A 23,108-nucleotide genomic window follows, 5' to 3' on the forward strand; every position below is an offset into this window, starting at 1 on the left:
TGTTTGATCAAGGTGGCATCTGCCAGGCTTATTCGTGGCACAATTCCTGCTCAGTTAGTGTTTTGTGTGTTGGGCTTTGAGACGGTGCATACACGAGGTTACCATCATTCTTCATTTTGATGCTTAAAGTCTCTCGTGTTCGGCCAGGAGAAGCCGTGCAGGCTGGTTCCCGAGTCTCTCGGGCACGTCGCCATCATTCTCCGAGGATGTTCCTGCTTTGTGACACCACGCAACATCCCACGTCCTTCCCAGCCCTGGGGTTCTCCGTCCCTGCAGGGAGCCCTGGTTCCTGTCAGTGGTGCCTCCTTTATCCCCAAATTTGAGACGCTGGCTCCGGCCAAGCAAGGGGGTCAGGGTCCGGGAGGGGATTTTTCCTTGTTTTTTTGGGGAGGAGGCGGCTGTAAGGCCACCTCCATCTGGGCCACCTTTGTTTCCACACCTCTGGGGAAGCCGAGGCCCAGCATGGAAACAAGCCCTTCCTGGTGGCCCTGTCTTCCCCGCCTCCCTCCTCCGAGCAGGAGCTCTGCACCCGTTACCAGGGCCCTGCTTATGCGGCTCCGTGGAGTTCTCTTCTTTTCTTCTTCTTCTTTTTTTTTTTTTTTGGTTGATTTTTTAAAAACCCGCTTATCTATTCTGCTTCAAATTAATCCCCAAATGTTGCTTTATCAAACCATTTGTAGTTGCAGTGGCTGTTGATTACAGATGTACATCATTTCTCCCCCAGCCTTTTTAAAGGGCCAATCACTATGGTAACCATATTACAGAAAATTACTGCGTCTCCTTAAAATACCCTTCAGAAAAAGGTCATTCGGTATTAACATGTTCCAGCTAAACCAGCAGCGTGAGCAGTGCTGGAGCATTGTCACCACGCACTGTGCTTCCGAGTGCTTGGCTTTGGTTGCGTAATTTCAGGAAACTCTCAAAACAGGACTAAAGATTGAGAGTGGAATGTGCTCTAATGCTGCACTGTGTAGTGTGTGTGTGTGTGTGTGTGTGTGTGCAAATCTAAAAGCCACACTCAGTTTAGTTCTTGTGCTTACAGGGCAAGGCTTGTTGGCTCTGGGTTCCATTTTGCTGCTGCCCTGTTCTGAGTGTGGGTTGAGATTGAGGGTGCCTGCCCTGCTCAGACCTCAGGCTGACCCTTAGAGCAGGGCAGCCGTGGGCCGGGTGGATGAGACAGCTGCCCCCGGCATTGGAAGCGCTGCACCCAGGCAGGCTCAGGCCAATGAACATTTTTGTTGTTTCTCATGAAACCTCAGGGTTTTGATAGAATATTCCATTGCTGGTGGGGTTTTATTTCCCAGAAATAAACGGCAACTCTCTCACCTCTTTCATCTTCCAGGGGAGGAGACAGAAGCACAGAGGCCCCTGAATCTCACCACTAACTTTTGTCCAGATGGCACCAGACGTTCCACCTTCTGATCCTGCGCTGCTGCTTTCTTAAAAATTACTCACTCGAGGTCACCCATGAGCACAGTGTAATGAGCAAGTAATCCATGTAGTTCACAATGAAAAGCAGCAGCCCTCCCTCCACACCTCCTGCTCCCCGAAGTGGCCACCGCCACGTGTTTGGGTATTTTCCTCCTAACTTCTAAACAATCTCCTTAATAGCCCCTTGGATCTACTGAATAGCTATTTCTCCAGCACGCACTCTGCCAGGCTCTCCTGTGGGGGGGGGCTTTACATGTTTCAACTCTTACTTCTCTCTGCCCAGTGAGGAAGGTATTATTGTTCACCCCATGAGGAAGCAGAGGTCCTGGGAAGAGATGTAGGCGGCCCCAAAACAGGGAGTGAGAGACAGAAGTGGGGTTGGAACCCAGCACTGTGCCTGCGGCGTTCTTGGTTTATCAGCTTTGTATGTTATGCATGGAGTTAATTCCATGAAAGATGAAGATGGACGCCCCATATCCACCAATTCTCATAATTCCTTTCCCATCTTCCCATCTGCATCGCTAACCACAGTGTCCGCACGTGCTGTCTCGCTGTTTCTCTGACCCTGTGCCTCTATATCTGTCTCTCTCTCTGTCTGTTTCTGTTTTACACACACACACACACACACACACACACACACACACACTTCTTGAATCATTTGCAAGGACCCCCACCTGTGTCTCCAGGAACAAAGAGAGCCTCCTGTTTAACTACAGTTCTATTGTCTCCTCAATAAATCGTACACACCCCATGATATGGTTTGGGTCTGTGTCGCCCCCCAAATCTGATGTCAAATTGTGATCCCCAGTGTTAGAGGTGGGGCCCAGTGGGCGGTGATTGGATTATGGCGGTGGGTTTCCTCTTGGCCCTGTTCTCGTGATAGTGGTGAGTGCTCGCGAGAGTGTGGTTATTTAAAAGTGTGCGGCACCTCCCCCTTCACGCTCTTCCTCCTCCTACAGCCACGTAGAACGCACCTGCTTCCCCTTTCACCTCCCACCACGACTGAGTTTTCTGAGGCCTCCCAGCAATGCTTCCTGTACAGCCTGCAGAACTGTGAGTCAATTAAACCTCTTTTCTTTATAAATTACCCGGCCTCCAGTGGTTCTTCATAGCAGTGCAAGAATGGACTAGTACATCCCATGTCCCCACGGTGTCTTTATGTATTTTTAAAATCTCGGGATGTAACCCAGGGCCCTTGGATTTTTGATTACCTACTTGTACCTGTTGCACCTTGAGTTCCTACTGTTTCAGAAGCTTCCAGGAAGAAGCTCAGGCCCCGGGGGGAGGTGAACTTGGGTGAACCCTCCTCATTACCATCCTCAAATCCCCACCCAGGGAGGAGCTCATTCACCATTTCCTATGCATGTGGCGTAGAAGCAAGATCGGAACCTGTGCTGCGCTGCCTTGACTCCCAGCCACATGCCATGACGCAGCGCACCAGCCCAATAAAAGCCCCTATTTCACTTTTTTGGGGGAGGAACTGCTTTCGGAACTACCCGAGTGCTCTCCTTAGTTGTTGCAAGTAGTAAAATCCCTCTGGGTTGTGGTCATTAGACCATCGCCCACCCTGTGGTCAAACCCACCTGTTGTTGGGGGAACAGGAACAGTTAAGGCTCGCGGGTTACATTTGTTTCCAATGTCTCCCTAATTGCCTTTAATCCAGAGTGTGCCCACTCCCTCTACTTTCATTTTAAGACCCCAGTCAACATTCTGGAGTGCAGGTGCGCTCTCCTGCAGCACGCCCTCACTCTGGTTTGTCTGGTTATTTCCTCGTGATTAGCTCAGGTCACAAATTTCAGCAAGACCTCTCCATCGGTGATGTGATACACTTCCTGTTTAATTGCATTAGGAACATGTGACCCTTGTTAAATTTGATCATTTGGTTAAGGTGGCTGCCAATGTGACTGTGATTGTGTGAATATCCTGTTCTCCAATAACTTTTTACCTGGTGATTTTGCTTAATTATAGATGCAGAATGGTGTTCTAATTCTATCCTTCCTCCCGCATTTATTAACTGGCCTTTTCCTGTAATGAATAACTGTCCCTCTCCCCCGTTCCCTGTTTTTTTAAACAATTATAGACTCACATATTCTTTTAATCTGGTGTATTATAATCCACGGCCCTCATTGTTCTTTTTGATGATGGAGTTGTTTCACGTGTGGCTAGTGAGAGCCTCTGCAGTCAGGCTCTGACCTCTGTTGTGCCCTGTTAGTCCTCGAGTGCTTCCCTGCTTCCCAACACAAAACCTGGTCCAGGCTCACTTTGGCCTTTCCCTGCTTAAGACCTGGAAGAGCTGATTTTCTAAGTAGTCTTGGTTACTTTCAGTGGAGAGTGGTATTTGTGAACAAAACCCTGGGTACTGGTGTGTTCATTACTTCTGGGGTGTCATTGCTCCTGGTCCTAGGAATGAACAGAGCAGAAGTTTTATATTCTTACTAACTTCTCCAAACCGAGCCAAACACAACAGCTCCTCCTTATTCCACATTGATATTTCACTTCTATTATGGTGAGAATCTTGGTTTCCCCAGATGTAATATATTTACCTGTTGGCTTTCTGCCATGACATGTACAGAATTATCTCGGAATTACTACGCTGACACCTCCACCAACAGAGTGTTAAGAAAAATTCAAGATTTCTTTGTCATAATTTTTGTCTTTAGAGTATATCACACCAGGTGTGTACAGCCAGAGAACTAGGTCCAAATTTACTTGCATTGATTCTCCTTTCTGTGTGGTTGTGGTATCAGTTTGATATGGCATTAAGTTCATTTGTCTGTTTTCAATTTTAGGGTATGCCTTTTATCAATATATTTGACATTTTTGAATATGTTAAGTTTCTATATGCTCAAAAGACACTATATGAAAAAAAGCATAGTCAGATAATTCTTACTCTCATCCACAACACTTTCATTTATCTCTCACCAGCCCCTAGGATAATAACACTTTTTTTGTTTCTGGTGCATCCTCCTGTATGAGTGTGTATGTATATATGTATTAGGCATGCTTATGCATAAGCAATGGTTTTTTAACATAAGACACTATATGTATATTTCTCATTTAACCTCCTTGTGTATGCAAAAGGTAGAATACTACATATAATCTTTTGTATTTTGCTTTTTAACTTAAAATATATCCTGGAAATCATTGTATATCAATATATAGATGTATTCATTTTTACAGCTGCATGATACTCCATGCAGCTGTACTATCATGTATATAACTGGTCGCTTTTCAAAGAGCACTTGGGCAGTTCTATATTTTGCTGTTACAAATAATGCTGCAATGAATAACCTTGGACATATCTTTGTGAAAATGTCTTTTTCAGGGCTAATTCCTAGAGGTGGGATTTCTGGGTCAAAGGGTAAATGCATGGTTTTCTTGGCTATTGCCAGATTCCCCTCCATAGATGTTGAATCATTTCACATTCCCACCAGTGAGTTATAAAAGCGTACACTTTCCCTAGAAGGTTTGCCAACAGGGTGTGTGGTCAAGCCTTTGAATTTCTGCCAACATGATGTGTGTGATATGGAGTCCCAGAGTAGTTTTAATCTGTATTTATATGTGAAGTTGAGCATCTTTTCATACCATTAGGGCTTTGTGTATATTGTTTTCTGTGAACCATTTTTGTGATCTGTCCATTTTTCTGTAGATTTTTGATCTTTTTTTCCTACTTTTAACAGCATTTTATGTATTAGGGAGATTATTCCTTTAACTCTGAGAGATATTGTATGTATTTTCTATCATTTTATCTCTTGTTATTTGACTTTGTTTATGGTGTTTTTCAGAAGCCAAAAGAATTTATAGTCAAATTAATCCAGTTGTTGCTTTTATTGCTTATGAATTATTAGTTTAAAAGGCTTTCTTCACATCCTTCATCTCCAGATTATATATAAAAAAACTCTTGTGTTTTCTTCTAGAACTTTTTCCATTTAGAACACTGATCCATTTGGTGTTTATTCAGATATGTGGTAGGAGGTATGGATCCCTTTCTACATTTTTTCAAATGGTTATCCAGTTAACATATTTTATTAAGTCTATCTGTTCTCCAGAATTTGAAATGTCACCTTTATCATAGACTGTATTTCTATAAATACTTCCATCTGTTCCTGGACCCTTAACTCTGCACCATTGGTCAGTTTGCTCATCTGTCAACAGCACAGTTTTAACTAGTAAGGCTTTTAGAATACTTTACAATTTCAGAGGGTAATCCCCCTGCCATTGTTCTTCTTGTAGAGTTTTTCTAGCTTTTCTAGTATGTCTAATTTTTCATTTAAACTTTAGATTCAATTTGACTCAGTCCAGGATAAAAACTTGTTGGGAATTTTATTTCAATTTTGATAAGTTTATGTATTATCTCTAGGAGGGCTGATGTTTTTATAAGATGGAATTATCCAAGAACAAGGGATTTTTTTTTGTCATTTGTTCAAGTCTTTTCTATGTTTCTTAGAAGTGGTTTAAAATTGTTTTCATATTGGTTTTGCATATTTCTTGTTAAATTAATTTGTAAGTACTTTATCTTTTTCACTGCATTTGTTGTAATAGTTTCTCTTCCATTGTATATTATTTATGTGCACACACATGATTTTGTTTGGTAAATGATATTGATTTTCATTGTATAATCTGCTAATTTTGAATTCTTTTATTTTCATTATTAAATCTTTTGGGTTTCCAAGTGTATTATTACATCATCTATAAATTATGTTTATTTTCCAAATGTTTATTCTTTCAATGTTTTTTCTTCTCTAATTATACACATTATATTTCTAATACAGTGTTAAATAATAATGCAGATAGTGTGTGTCCTTGTTTTATTTCTGACGTTAGTAGGAAATGCTTTGTTTCCCTATTAAGAAAGATGATGACTTTAAGGTTGATTTTATACATCTACACATACATACATTTATATGTACATATACACGTGGGTGTACATAAAGACATGTGGATACATACATGTGTATAGACACACTCATATATACACATGTTTATATACACATACATATATATCTATATACATATGTGTATTCATATATCTATTGATGTGTGTGTATCTTCTTAGTATGAATAAAATTATGCACTTTTTCCTTATGTCTACTATTAATAGGGCAAATTATTTGGATTTTCTAATATAGATCTACCCTCACATTCCTAGAATAAGTTTTACTTGGACATAATGTACTATTTTTAAGCATGTTTTTCTATTCTTTTTGCTATCATTTTATTTAGAATTTTTTGGCATTGGTATTTATAAGAAATATTAAGCCATAGTTGTCTTTCTGGGGCTATCTCTATTGGCTTAGAGATTAATGTTATATTTGTTTTTAAAAAATTTGGAAGTTTTCTTCTTTCTATATTCTGGGACAAATTATGTGATACTGAGATTATCTTGTATTTTCTTAGTAGACCCTCTGTGAAACCATCCAGGTCTTGTCCTTTTTTATGGGACAATTCTTCGATAACTTTCTGTATTCTGTCTGTGGAAGTAGGACTGTTTAAGCTTTCTATATTTATTTGGATCAATTTTAGCAAATCATATTTTCTTAAGAAGTCATTTATTTTATCTAAATTTTTAATTTGCATAGAGTTGTACAACATGTTCTTATGAGTTTTTTATGTTGTTTTTTCATGGCTATTTTCCCCTGGTTATTTCTTTTTTATTTTTTTCAAGACAGAGTCTCATTCTGTTGCCCAGGCTAGAGTGCAACGGCATGATCTCAGCTCACTGCAATCTCTGCCTCCAAGGTTCAAGTGATCCTCGTGCCTCAGCCTCCCAAGTAGCTGGGATTAGAGGGGTGTGCCACCACACCTGGCTAATTGTTGTATTTTTAGTAGAGATGGGGTTTCACCATATGGTCCAGGCTGGTCTTGAACCCCTGACCTCTGGTGATCTGCCTGCCTTGGCCTCCCAAAGTGCTGGGATTACAGGCATGAGCCACCACACCCAGTGAACCTCCCTGGTTGTTATTTTTTTTTTTTTTTAACTTTCTTCATTAGGCCTAGTATAGGAGAGTCATTTGTTCATTTCTTTGGAAAGAAATAGCATTTTGAATTATGTAATGGTTCTACTTTTTAAAAAAAATTTTCTGTCATGGGATTTTTCTGTTTTCATCCTTATTTATTTTCTCCTGCTTTCTTTTGGTTTATTGTTATTTTTCTAGTTCTTTTAAGTTGAGAACTTAATTCCTTTATTTTTGTTTTTAAATATATTTGTATGATTATTTAAAGCTGTAAAATTTCCCCTGATTGGTAGTTTAGTTCTATCCCACAGATTCTGAATTGTCTTGAATTATCATTTTATTGAAATCTAGTTATAAAAGTTATTTTTCATTGTTGTACTGTTTTTTGAATTCCAATTATATGCATGTTAGATCTTCTTTGTCTATCTTCTTTATGTACTGTTTTATTTGATCCTTTAAAAATCTTTCTTATTTTAATTCTCTTCTTTATATTGTATCCTCAATATTACTTTTATATATTCAGTTGCATACATTTTTCTCCTGACCACTCAATAGTTTAATTTTATTTCCTTTTATTCCGTTTTTCTTAAATTTAGCAAATTCTCATTTTATATATTTCAGTATTTTTTAAAAAGCCATGTTTTGTTTTTAGCTGTTGAATTTTTGATGTAAAGTTTTTTTTAAAATCTATAATTGTTTAATAATATTTAATTTGGTTTGGAGTGTTACAGTTCTCCACTGCTCCATATTTTCTTTTGGGTGGAGAATTTTCACCAGCTGAAGTGCCTTCTACTTTCTGTTCATTTTGAAATGTCTTCTATTTTTCTAGACTAGCAACAATGAGTGATGCTATGTGGGCAGTAGTGAGGAGTTTGGTTCAGTTCAAGAACACACTCTTACAGATGGTGCCTTTGTGGGGTGTGAGTCCTTTTTCTTTCTTGCAGGATTTGTTTTTTTGAGACAGAGTCTTGCTCTGTTGCCCAGGCCAGAGTGCACTGGCACAATCTCAGCTCACTGCAACCTCTGCCTCCCGGGCCCAAGTGATTCTCCTGCCTCAGCCTCCTGAGTAGCTGGGATCACAGGCACATGCCACCATGCCTGGCTAATTTTCATATTTTTAGTAGAAATGGGGTCTCGCCATGTTGGGCCAGGCTGGTCTCAAACTCCCGACCTCAGGTGATCTGCCCACCTTGGCCTCCTGGAGTGCTGTAGTTACAGGCGTGAGTCACCATACCCAGCCTTTCCTGTAGGATTTTTAATTTGCACCACTTGCTTCCTCCTTTTCCTTCACCAAAAGTCTACAAGTGATGCCTCACTCTCCCCAAACATGGTGCCTGCTAAGACTGCTACCTCCAGTCCCACACATTTTCATGCCACTTTCTTTTTAGGACTTTTGATTTTAAAATAATTTTAGATCTTTAGAAGAGATAAAAAGACAGTACAAAGTGTTCTCATATGTACTTTCACTTAGATTTCTCTAATGATGACATCTTAAACATGGAATATTTATCAAAACTAAGAAGTTAACTTTGCTACAAGACTGCCTACTAAACTATGGACTTTGTTAGGCTTACCCCAGTTTTTCCACTAATACCATTTTTCTGTTCTAGGATCCAGTCCAGGATACTACAAGTATTTGTTAGGTCTCTTTAGCCTCCCCAGTCTATGGCAGTTTCTTGGTTGCCCTTTGCCTTTCATGACCTTGGCACTTTTGAAGAATCATGGTCTAATATTTTGTAGAACATCCTCAATCTGACTTTGCTTAACGTTTCTCATGATTAGGCCAAAGTTGTGGATTCTGGGTAAGAATACTGCAGAGATGATGTATCCTTCTCATCAAATCATATTGGATGCACATGATATCAATATGACTTATTACTGCTAATATTTATTTTAATCACTCAGTTAAGGTGGTGTTTGCCAGATTCCCTCATTGTTAAATTAACTGTTTTTTCATTTGCACTCTTTGATCATTATCTTATTCATACTTCTTCATAGTGAGTAAGTAGGTCCAGCCCACACTCAGGTGGAGGGAAAGTAAGCCCCACGTCCTGGAAGTGGGTATCTGAGGATCTGTGGGACTCACATTAAAAACATGATGGTAATTATCACATTTTAGGGGAGATATTTTGAAGTCATGTAAATATTCTGCTTTAAGTTTTGCACATTAATTTTAGCACTTATCAACGCATCTTTATTGTAGCAATTACTCCTCTGGTGTGTTAGTGGTGATTTTCTATTTCCCTTGTTCTTTCTACATGCATTAATGAGAATTTTTCCATAAGGAAGATTTGTCTCTTCTTCCACATTTATTTATAAACTCAGTCATTTATGTCAGTATGGACTCGTGCATGTTTGTTTTATTTTAGGGGTAATAATCCAGTGCTATCATCATTTATTCTGTTGTTCCTCACATTGCTTCAGTTTTAGCCCTCATGACTACCCTCAGGTTGCTTCTGGGTCCTTCTGACACAGCTTCATCTTGTTTGCTTGAGCACTTCCTTGCTTTCTGGCTCTGAAAGGTACCATATATATATACATCCTGTAATTTCCCTGCCTTCCCTGGAATCAGCCATTTCTCTAAGGAGCTTCCTGACTAGAGGATGGTGTTAGAAACCACCATCTGGGCATGGGATGTGCTCACCACTTCTGGGGTGTCACAGCCTCCAGTCCCTCTCAGCACTTCCCTTTCTCTGCTCACTGGATTTCTGGGCATGCACTGGGACCTTCTGTTCAGGTCAGTCTGCATCCTGGCACGGCTGCCCTCGGCTGTCCTCGGCCATCTCCCACTGGCCCCTCTCCCTGAAGGCTCCTTGTGAAGCTGCCCTGGTTCAGGCTCCTGGCATGGCGCTTTATTTGCTGCTTGTTCTCGGTCTCCAAGTTGGACAGAAATGTAGACATGTTGTTCCCAGGCTTCACAGTGGAGGAACTTGGTGTCATTTTTTTGTTTTGTTTTGTTCTTGTTTTTTTTTTTTTTTTTTTGCATAGGTCAGGGTAACCAATTTGTTAAAGCTATTAACCTGGAAAGTCATATCATCCTTTGATTCTCGAAATTTTTAGTTTTTTGCTTTTTAAAATAATTTATTACTTTCCTTTTATCCACTTAGATATGAATTTAATAAATAACCCTTATTGGAAGATTCAAATAACTTTTCAAAAAAGGAACTTTAATACAACATACGTAAGTGAATTTAGTTGCCATGGAAGTTGATTGTAGATTCTTTTGATCATATTTTATTCATCTTATTTTTTCCCCTCCAGCATCTCTTGGCAAAAGAAATTAGTGGAGAGATTTTAACGGTCTTTCGGGTCATTGGTTGTTTTTCCAAACTGGAAGGTTATGTTGGATGCACTGATGTGGTGGGTGAGCAGTCCCAGGGATGTCTGCTTAATGACTGAGAGCACTGGGGTCCTTAGGAAGAAAGTCTGTGAGGGTCTCTGACTGTCTGCAGACACTTTCTCCACTTTCTCCTCATCTGTTCTGCTGTGTCTCCTTACTGGAGTATGATTACAGATGTAAAATCCCTGTAAAGTGACCAGCAGAGCAGCACTGATGCAGATGAAGGTGTGTGTGGAGGCAGCTGGTCCCAGGAGTCTGGCTGTGCTCTGCACCTCTGGACACAGTAGGCGTCAACTCAATGCACATTTATTAGTTGAAGGAATAAGGGAGGGCACTGGTGAGTGAGGGAGCTCCCAGGGCCTCCTGCCCCTTTCAGATGGTGAGATAGTCATTCTGAAGTCAAGGATGTGTGTTCTGATGCAGATGCAAACTCTACAGTAGAAGCTGGGGCAGGGAGAGCTCTGCAGAGATGGTGGAAGGAGTGGCTGTTCCAGGGCTGTGGTGACTGCGGGGTGGGGTCTGCAGAGATGGTGGAGGGAGTGGCTGTTCCAGGGCTGTGGTGACTGGGGGTGGGGTCTGCAGAGATGGTGGAGGGAGTGGCTGTTCCAGGGCTGTGGTGACTCAGGGGTGGGGTCTGCAGAGATGGTGGAGGGAGTGGCTGTTCCAGGGCTGTGCTGACTGGGGGGTGGGGTCTATAGGGATGGTGGGGGGCTGTTCCAGGCCTGTGGTGACTGAGGACTTGGCTCTATAGAGATGGTGGGGGCTATTCCAGGGCTGTGGTGACTGGGGGTGGGGTGGGGTTGCAGAGACGGTGGGGGCCTGTTCCAGGGCTGTGGTGATGGGGGTGTGGGCTCTATGGGGATGGTGGGGCTGTTCCAGGGCTGTGGTGATTCGGGGCTGGGCTCTGCTCTGTAGAGATGGTAGAGGGGGCTGTTCCAGGGCCATGGTGGCTTGGGGGTGGGGTCTATAGAGATGATGGGGGGTTGTTTTAGGGCTGTGGTGATGGGGGGATGGGCACTAGAGAGATGGTGGAGGGAGTGGCTGTTCCAGGGCTGTGGTGACTTGGGGGTGGGGTCTGTAGAGATGGTAGAGGGTTGTTCCAGGGCTGTGCTGATGGAGTGGGGGGTGTGGTCTGTAGAGATGGTTGGGGGGCTGTTTCAGGGCTGCAGTGACTGAGGACTTGGCTCTATAGAGATGTTGGGGCCTGTTCCAGGGCTGTGGTGGTTGTGGGGGTGGGGTCTGCAGAGATGATGGAGGATGTTCCAGGGGTGTGGCAATGGGGGGATGGGGTTGTGGAGATGATGGAAGATATTCCAGGGCTGTGGTGATGGGTGGGGGTCGGGTTGTGGAGATGGTGGGGCCTGTTCCAGGGCTGTGGTGATGGAGGTGGGGTGGGGTTGTGGAGATGCTGAGGGGCTGTTTCAGGGCTGTGATGGAGAAAGGTGGGGTCTGTGGAGATGGTGGGGCCTGTTTCAGGGTTGTGATGGCGGGGGGTGGGGTCTGTGGAGATGATGGGGTTGTTTCAGGCTGTGATGATAGAGACAGGGTGGGGTTATGGAGATGGTGGGGGCTGTTTCAGGGCTGTGGTGGTTGTGGGAGCCCTGCAGAGATGATGGAGGATGTTCCAGGGCTGTGATGGGAGACAGAGTTTGGGCTCAGGGCCACGCACCCCTGGGGATGAATCCAGCTCTTTCCTTGCCTACTGGGTTACCAGGGCAGGTCCTTTTGTGTCTGGTCACAAAGTGAAATTCCCCTTCTTGGAGAAAACTCCTCTGGGTCCTCCCACTGCCCCCATAGGAGACTCTTGTGTGTGGAAGCTGCTGCTCATGCACTAGGTCCCTTGGGCTGGAGACGGGGAGGCCGTGGGCTGGAGGGGACTTGGGCCACTGCACTGGGATGAGGCCACCTCACCAGCTGGTTCTCAGCTCTTTTGTTTTGCATGACATTTCTATTGAAAATAGATAATAAAATTCCTAGACTAATCCTTAAATTGTTTCTTTCCATCTCTGCCTTCCTTTTCTTTGTTTTGTTTTCTATTATCTGGGTTGTTTTCTCCATCTCTATTCCCCAATTAAGTTAAAAAGTATTTTTCTCATGTTGTCTTTTTTGTTTCCTGAGTGATATTTCTTTTATGGAATCCTCTCCCCGTTTCATAGAATCAACCTCTCATCTCTTTGGTATTGTTAGTTATCCCTTTCAGAAAAGTCTTCCCGGTCACCTTGATGACACGTACTCGCTCTGAGTTCATTCTCGATTTTCAGCCTTTCCTTCTCGGTTTGTTATAGGAGGAACTTTTACCAAATGCCTGGGATTTCTGATATTGAGTCCATGTCTGATGCTTGGTTTCTGTGGGTGAGGTTTGCTGGCTGGCGGGTGATTGTGTAGGGACTTCACTATTTTGTCAGAAGACCCCTAACCTCTCTTGTCTTTCCTTGTGGGCATCGGACGGCCCTCCTACTGCTGATGGTGGCACAGGCCAGGCAGCAGGTGGCCCAGACGCTGGGCTCCCAGGGATACGGGCCTCAGTCTATGTCCAGGTGGCACCACATCTTCTTCACCTGTGGCTGTTCCGCTTTGCTTAATGCCACGATTATGGATGCCTCCCACTCAGAGACTGACCTGCCCGCTTCTGCTAGAGCAGAGGGGCTCCATTTCCTGGCTGTGGGGCTGGGAGAAGGGACTTGGGGCTCTAAATGGTGTCTCATTGGAATTCGACGACTCCGTGTCCTCCACACCCCTCACGTCTTGCCTCAAGAGACACAGGTGCCCCTGGTTCCTGAGCTGCTCCGTGGCCCTGGGTGTCTCTGCTGGCTTCTCAGGGCTCCTCTCATCTGGAGGCACCCATTTCCTGGAGCTCTGTCTGCGTCAGTGGCTGGTACCTGTCTGTCCTCATCATCCAGGGGTGCGTCCATACCTCCCGCCGGCTGCCAGCCCCCTCTCCTTTCCATTTGTCCTTGCAGTTTGCGTCTTTCCTCTCTAGTGCGATTAATGTGTAGGGAGTAGAGATGGAGGATGCTTCCCCTGCTCTAAGCAGGAGGCGCTTTCTGCTGCTGTCTAGCCACACCTTGCCTCGCTTCCCAGCACACCTTCTTCCTTTCAACTGTCTGCCTGAGATGTTGACATCTGAGAGTTTCTCATTTGTTGTTACGAAAATGATTCCTGCCTGGAAAATTTGAACATTTCTAAATGAAAACAAAATTAATAGTATTATCTCTCAAGGTGTGAGTTTATTTGTGCATGTGTGTGCTTCTGCATGTGTGTGTATCTGCATGTGTAGGTATCTGCTTATGTGAGCATGCATGTGTGCATGTGTATCTGCATGTGTGAGCATATGTATAAGCGTGCATATGTGTGTACATGTGTGTATCTGCATGTGTGCATGTGTGTGCATGTGTATCTCTGTATCTGCATGTGTGAGCATGTGTGTGTCTGTGCATGTGTATCTGTGTATCTGCATGTGTGAGCATGTGTCTGTGTGCATCTCTGCATCTTGCATGTGTGTATATCTGCACGTATCAGCATGTGCGTATGTGTGTCTGTGCATGTGTGTATACCTGCATGTATCTACATGTGTGAGCATGTGTGTGTGCATGTGAGTGTGCATGTGTGTATCTTTGTGTATCTGTGCATGTTTGTGTGCATATATGTGTATCTGCATGTGTGTGTGTGTATCTGTGTGTGTGTGTATGTACATACCCGTGAAGCAGGGCGAGGAAGTGGTGTGGCAGGATGTTGGGGGAAGGGTACTGGCAGAGGAAGACCTGATGCACAAGTTTAAAAGATGCCAGAAGCACAGCTGAGGCTGAGGCTGGGGTTGCTAATTCCCTCCGATGTGTGCATGCCGCTGATAGCAAGTTATGCGTATGACATTCTGACACTCTCTCTCAAGAAAGAGGAAGAGTGGCGTGAAAGATTCGGAGGATGCTGATTTAATTGGAAAGCCACTGAGGGCTGAGCAGAGCGGGGTGAGGAGCTGCTGTGTCTCTGCACAATGGCGATGGTTGAAGGTTGTATATAAGGTGGCCTTATTAAAGTGACAAGGCAATTTAATTCCTTTGTGCACAATGATTCTACTTCATTGATTTACAATGGGAAGGATATAATTTTGCTAGTGTTGGCAAAAAGCTCAAATGTCAGCCTTTTCAAATCGCCATACTTGCCTTGTTCAGGATGAATAATGAATAAGTCACCTTTTGTCTACAGTTAAATATTCTTGAATAAATACAAAGAACATAAAAGACATAAATGATTGCCTGATTTATATTTAAAATAAAGATCAACATTGTGATAAATGGTTGAAAATGCTGTGTGTGCAGCAATATGACTCTCCTGATAATTACATTATCAGTTAGGGAGCAGCCCAGGTGTAGACCGTGGTTGCGTGCACACACCCACTAACCCACAGCCCCGTACGGGAGCAGGCCCCAGGCTCTCCATGAAGGGGAGCTGGGGCCCTGGTCTCCTCAGACTCCTCTACATCCTGCAAACCCCAGCCAGGGAAGGCCAGGGGCTGGGACCCTTCTAGCTCCTCAACAGAGGGAGGAGGGCAACTTCAGTAGAAGCAGAGTCACACTGGGCCTGGGGGCCTCCAAGGCCCCTGGATCATTTTCTGTTTGTCACCTTTGAAAGGAAGTTTGTAGGAAACATAGGAGAATAAGAAAGCATGTTCATCTGACAATTCAGCAAATCCTTGGCTAAAATAACCCTAGCTTATCCACACCATGGAATTCTATGTAGCTATTGGAAATGAAGGAACAGGGAGAAGAATATTTTATGAGCAAATTACTATCTTCATATTCTCAAATGAATAAAGCATGCTTCAGTAAGATTCAGTAAGATTCTATTTTTATTACAAATGTGTGTGTATGTATATGTATATATATGTACATACATATGTATATATACACATATGTATGTGTATATATACATACACTATATATAGTGGATATATAGAGTGTATATATGGTGTGTATGTATATATATAGTGTATATATATAGTGTATATATATAGTGTACATATATAGTGTGTATATATATAGTGTACATATATAGTGTGTATATATATAGTGTACATATATAGTGTGTATATAGTGTGTATATATATAGTGTATATATATAGTGTGTAATATATAGTGTGTATATATATATTTATATGTGTGCGTGTATATATATATATATATATATATATAGTGTATGTATTAGGGTTCTCCAGAGAAACAGAGCCAATAGGGTGTGTGTGTGTGCGTGTAGAGAGAGAGATTGATTGATTTTAAGGAATTTGCTTACATGATTGTGGAAGCTGGCAGGTCTGAAATTTGCATGGTGGGCCGGCAGGCTGGAAACCCAGGGAAAAATGAATGCGATAGTCCTGAGCCTGAAGATGGTCTGGAGGCAAATTCCTACTTCCTCAGGGAAGTCAGTGTCTTTCTCCTTAGGCCTTCAACTGACTGGATGAGGCCCGCCCGCCTTAGGAAGAGGCACCTGTTTCACTTGAAGCCCAGTGGTCAAAGATTAATTTCACCTAAAATTACCTTCAGAACAACATCTAGACTGATGTTTGACCAAACATGTTGGCATCAGGGCTTAGCCAAATTGACACATAAAATTCCACCATCCCAATGTGTGTATGTATGTGTCTCATTAAAAGAAAACACATCAAAATGTTGACAATACTTGTCTCTGGACAATTGTTCTTTTCTGTATATTTGCATTTTCTCATTGCTTTTGCAACAAATGTGTTTTATTTTTGCAACAATGAGATGATATATTTTAAAAATATCTTGAGACTCAAATCTGTTGTGTGCAATCCACCTGAATCTTGGCATTTCCAGGACCGTGGTCAAGGGCGACATATCTGAGCACTTAACAATTTTCTCCTGCAGCGAAGGAGCCCCTCCCTCCCAGGGTGTCCACAGTGATGGTGGTGCGGCCGGTCCTGGGAGGGGAGGTAGATCTTGGTTCTGGCCTCAGAGCAGCCACTGAGCAGCTGTGTACCCCTGCGAAAGCACCTTGATTCTTGGGGCGTCTCTGTCCTCGCATGTCGATGACATGCCTGCTAGGGCCACGTGAGTAGCTCTGACAGGAAGGGGCATTTCCCAGTGTCCTGTGATTGGGAGTAGGCAGAGATACACTTAGCAAGGGTTTAGGGATGCCACACCTCTCTCTGCTCATACGTGGGACAGTGCCAGAGCACAGAGCTGGTCAGCATCCCACTCGCCCTTTAGTATACTGCTGGGCATCCACGCAGGTGAGAAACTGCTGGGATCGGCTGGGCTGAGCCCTCACCCAGTTTTCCATCCACAGATGCACACGTGCACACGCAGTGCAGTTGCCCTGCTTCAATGCACACTCTTGTTTTCTAAGATGCAGCTGCGATGGAAACTGAGGAGACGCTGCACTTTGTGCTGTTTGGAAGTTGCTGGGGCTGTGCGTCGTGGCAGAGCCTCAGTGCCTGTGGCTCAGCTTGGCAGCTGTGTGTGCACGCTCCCTGCTCAGGTGACTCATACAGATCCACCACGACATCAGCATGTCCTTAGAACGCCTGTGCGTTTGCATATTGAGGACATTACCTTAATAGAAATGACTTTTGCTTATTATAGTTGCAATATTACATATTGCTTGAAATAACAGATGTAGGAAGATCATGGAGTCTGTAACTATTTTCAGGATGGTATAAAGAGGCTGTTACAAAGCACTCATCATGAACAGTGGACTTTGGTCAACTGGATGAGGCAGCACTGCGAGGTGGCACTCAGCATCCATAGCATCCTGACCCTGTGTCACAGCAGATAAGGTGTCCTCATCTGTGCTCTCCCATGTGTGTATCTGACTCCCCTTAGTCCGGGTTTGCAATGGGGCAGGAAGGAGATGACCCCCAGACAACTCTGAGCCCACCTGTTTCTCCACCTCTGCTCTGGGCACCTGCCCCAGCGGCTCCATCACTTACCGGATTATTGAAATAACCTCCTGGCTGACTCCAGTCTCCAGAGGGTGAGTGATTGGAGGCCTCTCTCGGCAGTGCAGAGCTGCTCACGGAGGCCTTTCTCGGCAGTGTGGAGCCGCTCATGGAAGCATCTCTCTGCTCACCCCCTTGGCCTACAGCCTCAACAACGTTGCACTGATCGTAGGATAAAGAGCTGCTCGCTTAGTCATGGGGCACAATGTTGATGCCAAGGTTAGGTGGCTGCCTTCAGTTTTCCTTCCTAGCCGGATGAAAGGCTGTGGGCACGTCACTACTTGTGACCACCTGATTGGTGCTGTCGTGTCCCTCTGCTGGGCCTCGGTCCAGCCCTGTGTCCAGTCCTGGGCCTGCCTCGCTCTTTATGCAGAAATGGAAGGGACACTGACTCTAAAGTACCACTCCTCACTCCTCTTTCAGCCACGATAGCGCTCGCTTAGGGGCTGGATCCTGCTTAAACAGACGTCACAGGACGGCTGCCCCTCCTCGCTTCCCTCCTCCCTCTCCTCATTGTCCTGATAGCCCAGACTAAGAGGCACCATGTCCTTTCTCTCCTTCGGAAGACCAGCCTTTCCGTCATGAAACTTTTATTTTTACTATTCAGTATGTGAGAACGGGTGTGTGAGAGAGTGTATGTGGGTTTGTATTTGAGTGTGTAAATGTATGTGTGAGTGGGCATATATGTGTCACTGCATGCAATAGTGTGCACGTGTGTGTGCACGTAAGTGCACATTAAATGTGTGTGTAAAAGTCCGCGTGTCTGTGCCTGAGTGTGTGCATGTGTGAGTGGGCATGTGTGGGGGAGCAGTGTGAGTAGCTGTGAAGGGCTGGCATTCACTGTAGAGGTCCAGGCTCTGCCCCTTGCCTGGCCCTGGGAGCAGCAGGATGCCAGGGGAAGGACGCAGGGGGTGGTAGGTGCCCAGAGGGCAGGGAGCAGAGCATCCATCAGGTGTTCACTGGTCCCCAGTGAGTCCTGCCCTTTCTGCTTGACTCTGCCGTCAAGAGCAGTTTTTCCGAATGAGAGAACCAAGCAACGCCAAAGTAACCACACGTGGGGCCGTGTCCTCTGGTGGGGGTGTCTCCCACCCAGCTCCCGTGCCCTGGGCTGGAGTTATGGTCCAAGACCTGGAGCGGCGCCATCCAGACCAGAAGGAGATGGTGCAGGAAGCCCTCATGCAGGGAGATCAGCACCCAGCGCCCGTCCGCACAGGAGGTGGTGGGCGGGCACCAGCGAGGAGGAAATGCAGGCAGCACTGAAGTCAGAGCTGCTGCTTGATAGGGCGACAGCCTCATGAGAGAGAATGGAGCTGGCTGTCCTACTTGGCAGCAGGGAAGTAGAAGGAGAGAGGCAGGCAGCCGTGTGTGAGCCCAGGTGTTTGGGGACATGATCACACATGCACACACGTGTATACACAACACACACGTACACACAACACACACATGTACATGCATGCACATGAAGACAGTCCCATGCACATGTACATGTGTGTACTTGCCTGCACAATATGCACACATGCACACACAACATACACATGCAACTGTGTACTCACATGCACACACACACGAACATGAACAGATGGCACACATTTCTCAGTCTAGGCCCGTCAGGAAGCTGTGCCTGGCTCGCTGCAGACTGGAGACCATTCCCGGGTGGAGGCCAAGGCTGTGGCTGAGAGACTCTGGCTGGAGCTTGAAGTTGCTGGGTGCAAAGGCTCTGGGAGCCAGTGCTGAGGAAGTGCGTGGAGCACAGAGGCCTGCGGGTGACACTCCAGGTAGCAGGGAACAGGCGAATGTGTAGAAACTAAGACAGAAAAGTTTATCTACGGGAGTGGCCCCTGGAAGAGGCAGGAGGACTGCAGAGAGAAAGTCTGGGGGTACCTGCCCCGTAGCCCTTCTGCTCCCCTGCCGCTCCTACCCTTACCTTTCTCTGTCAGAACTGAAGAGATCGTGCTCTGTGCTTTAGGCACTGTCGACATGAGGGTGCACATGGCCCATGCTCAGTCACCTGCTTGTTAATCGTTTCAGTCATGTGATGAACACCCACAAACCCACCGTCCACCTGGGCCGAGGATGTCTTGACACCCCCCTTCTGAGCCCTGCACCCCCAGAGACAATCACCCGTTGGTGCCGTGTGGATCCTCACTTTGACTTTGGAGCAGTTTCTGGCTGGTCCCTTCAGGTGGGGTTGCGTCTCCTCCATCTGATGTGGGCAGGAGACCAGTGCGAGGGGCTGGGAGGCTTGCCCCAGGAGTCTGTGCTGCAGATGGGGCTGGCGTTGGGGCCATTCTCAACATCTAGCACGCCCCTCTTTTCAGGCTAGACACTGAGCTCCCTGGACCTCTCAGGAGTGGGCCACATGGAAAGTTCCGGCCATGTGGTGGGTAAGAAAGATGCGAGTGTAGTCAGTTCAAAATTCACTGTACTGGGCAGTCAGGTGGCGAGGCCATGGCTTGGGAAAAGGGGGGCTTGGTGCAGCTCACATGTCACACGTAGCATTGGCAGGGACCTAGCACAAGGGCAGGCTGCTTGACACAGGCTAAGTGGAGAAGAAATGCAAGATATGACAGCGAATTGGCTCTGCCTGAGGAGGTGTGAGGGTTGGGTCATCTGAAACGGGGTGGGACAGGGAGGGCAGCCGCTGAGCCTGGAGCTGTATCTGCAATGGCTGTGTTGCACAGGCCTGCTCTGTGCTGAGAGATGGGTGCCTCTGTCACCGCACACTGTCCTCCAGGACGCAGTGCTCCTGTGATGCTGATTGTATCCCAGCATCTTGCGCGCTCGCTCTGAAATGAACTTGTGTTTCAAGACCATGTTGTGGTGGAATGTGGCAGTTTCCAGGCTGGGGCACTGGTGCCTGGGAGGCGGCCATCAGAGAAAGTGGCTTCCTGCTGCAGTGACCAGCACCATCCAGGCTCTAGCTGCTCCATTCACCTGGGGCTGGGGTCAGCAGGACGGGCCGGTCGGCTGTGGGCATAGAATACGAGAGAAAGAGCTTTATTTTAAGCCACCAAGATTTTTGTTTCTCACCTTGCCATCACCTAGTCTCCTTAAGTGACACATATGCACACAGTCGGTGTGACTGGCCAAAAGGTTTTCTATTAATTCAATACAGTCATCCCTCTATCCTCAGGGGGTACGTTCCAAGACCCCCAGAGGATGCCCGAAACCACAGATAGTACTGAGCCCCATGTACACTATGTTTTTCCTATCCATCCACACCTGGGATAAAGTTTAATTTATAAATCAGGCACAGTAAGAGATTGACAACAACTAGTAAAATTGAACAATTATAACAGTATAGTCTCAATTTTACAAAAAGAAGATTCATTCACACTGGAGATCTTAGCAACCTCAGCGTACTATTTCTTTCTGAAGCCGAGAACTTTTGCTTTCACTTAAAGGAGCACCTTAAGGTTTCTCTTAGGTGTATCCACATCGCCAGCCTCACTGCCCTTGTGCTTTGGGGCCATGATGAAGTCAAACGAGAGTTCCTTGAACACGAGCACTGCACCCCTGTGACTGTTGAGCTGATAACTGAGAGGGCCCCTAGGTGACCAGCAGGGGCTTAAGGGGAGTCGGCAGCTGGACAAAGAGAGGGTTCACGTCTGGGGCAGGGTGGAGTGGGCAGCTGAGATTTTATCATACTGCTCGGAATGGTGCACAATTGAAAACTTATGAATTGTTTATTTCTGGAATTTTCCATTTAATATTTTCAGACCTTGGGAAACTGTGGAAAGTGAAGCCATGGATAAAGGGCCACTATCCTATTTCTCTTCTTCTAATAATTGCTTATATATTGATATCCTACCATGTGGCCTCAGTCCATTGATCCTTTGAGGACAAACACCAAAGCTCTATATACCAGTCAACAAAAAGGGTTTGCTGAGGCCAGGCGCAGTGGCTCACGCCTGTAATCCCAGCACTTTGGGAGGCCGAGGCAGGTGGATCACCTGAGGTCAGGAGTTCGAGACCAGCCTGGCCAACATGGTGAAACCGCTTTCTACTAAAAATACAAAAATCAGTCAGGTGTGGTGGCGGGCACCTGTAATCCCAGCTACTCGGGAGGCTGAGGCAGGAGAATTGTTTGAACCCGGGAGGCGGAGGTTGCAGTATGCCGAGATCATGCCATTGCACTCCAGCCTGGGCAACAAGAGCAAAACTCCATCTCAGAAAAAAAAAAAAAAAAAGGGTTTGCTGAGAATTTATTCATTCTTCCGTCCTGCCCTGGACACCATGGAATTTAATGAAGTGAAGAAGATCTGGAACTGGCCCCCAGATATACTATGAAACATGTAAATGGTGAACAAATAAGGCTCGTTCTTAGGAAAGATTTTCCATGCTGTTTTCACAAGTGTGAAACATGATGATATTTGGTCGGTGCAAAAGTAATTGCGGTTTTTGCCTTTAAAATTAATGGCAAAAGTTCTTGCCTGAGTTCATGCCTTCCTGGGGCCTGTCACGAACGCAGGGGCTTATCTTTCTGAAATGACCAACCTAATATGTTGCGTGTAGATTTCTTGCGACATATGGAAAGTGTTTGCAACATGCAGTATTTGATGAATGTTTATCCCAGATCCCTTCCTGGTGGTTCAGAGGGAGAGTGAGAGGCCAAGGAGGGAAAGGGGGGTTCAGACATCCTGGCTCTGAGGAAGGGGTCAGGGTTTGGCTACTGGAGGGGACGAGAGAGGGAAATAGGGTGAGTGAAGACGCGCCAGCTATGCCTGACCAGGGCCTGAGATGATTGTGGCCTTCTGCTATGTAGAACTTCTCTGTTTATAACCCTATGCGTGTTTTTGGGAGAGCAAATTCACTGTTCCATGCTGCAGATACAGACCACGTTGAGGAAACTTCAACAACACTCGAGAAAAATGCAAGAGAATCCTGCTGGCCATTTTGAGACTGATCACGCGGGCTTCTTCGGCTTTGTTTCTGTGGGATTAGCACTTGTCATCTCTCTGACCGCCTATTGGTTCTTTCTCCTTCCTAGCTTTGGCATTTGTTTTTTCCCTCTCTCCTTATGAACTACAGACTTGACTTTCTGGTGTCTGCTCTGCCCTGGGACAGGGAAGGTCTGCAGGCCGTCTGCTTCCTTCACTGAGGATGTCTCTGCACTGGCCATCTATGAAGGCCTGTAGGCCGTCTGCTTTGATAACTGAGGATGTCTGTGTACTAGCTGTCTGCAAAGGCCCGCGGGCTGTCTGCTTCCCTCACTGAGGATGCCTGTGCACTGACCATCTGCTACTATTTGGGAGGTCCTTGCCTGAGTTCACACCTTCTTTGGGCCTGTCATGAATGCAGGGACTTGTCTTCCTGAAACGGCCAAATGTCTTCTGATTGCATTATCTTCCAACTGCAGGCCCCTGAGTCCTTCATAGCCAGCCAAATGCTGTGTCCTGGGGAGAAGGAATGGCTGGGTGCTGGTCTC

At 45.5% G+C, this 23,108-nt stretch overlaps 1 annotated feature.

The window, feature by feature from the left end:
• Positions 18,740-19,240: an enhancer, noted in NCBI's record as "H3K4me1 hESC enhancer chr13:112041571-112042071 (GRCh37/hg19 assembly coordinates)". NCBI's record gives its function as "activates a minimal SCP1, AML or CMV promoter by ChIP-STARR-seq in naive H9 embryonic stem cells {active_cell/tissue: H9 hESC(naive)}" and the evidence as "EXISTENCE:reporter gene assay evidence [ECO:0000049][PMID:30033119]".

This window comes from Homo sapiens, chromosome 13 (genome assembly GCF_000001405.40).
Source record: "Homo sapiens chromosome 13, GRCh38.p14 Primary Assembly".
Lineage (NCBI taxonomy): Eukaryota > Metazoa > Chordata > Mammalia > Primates > Hominidae > Homo > Homo sapiens.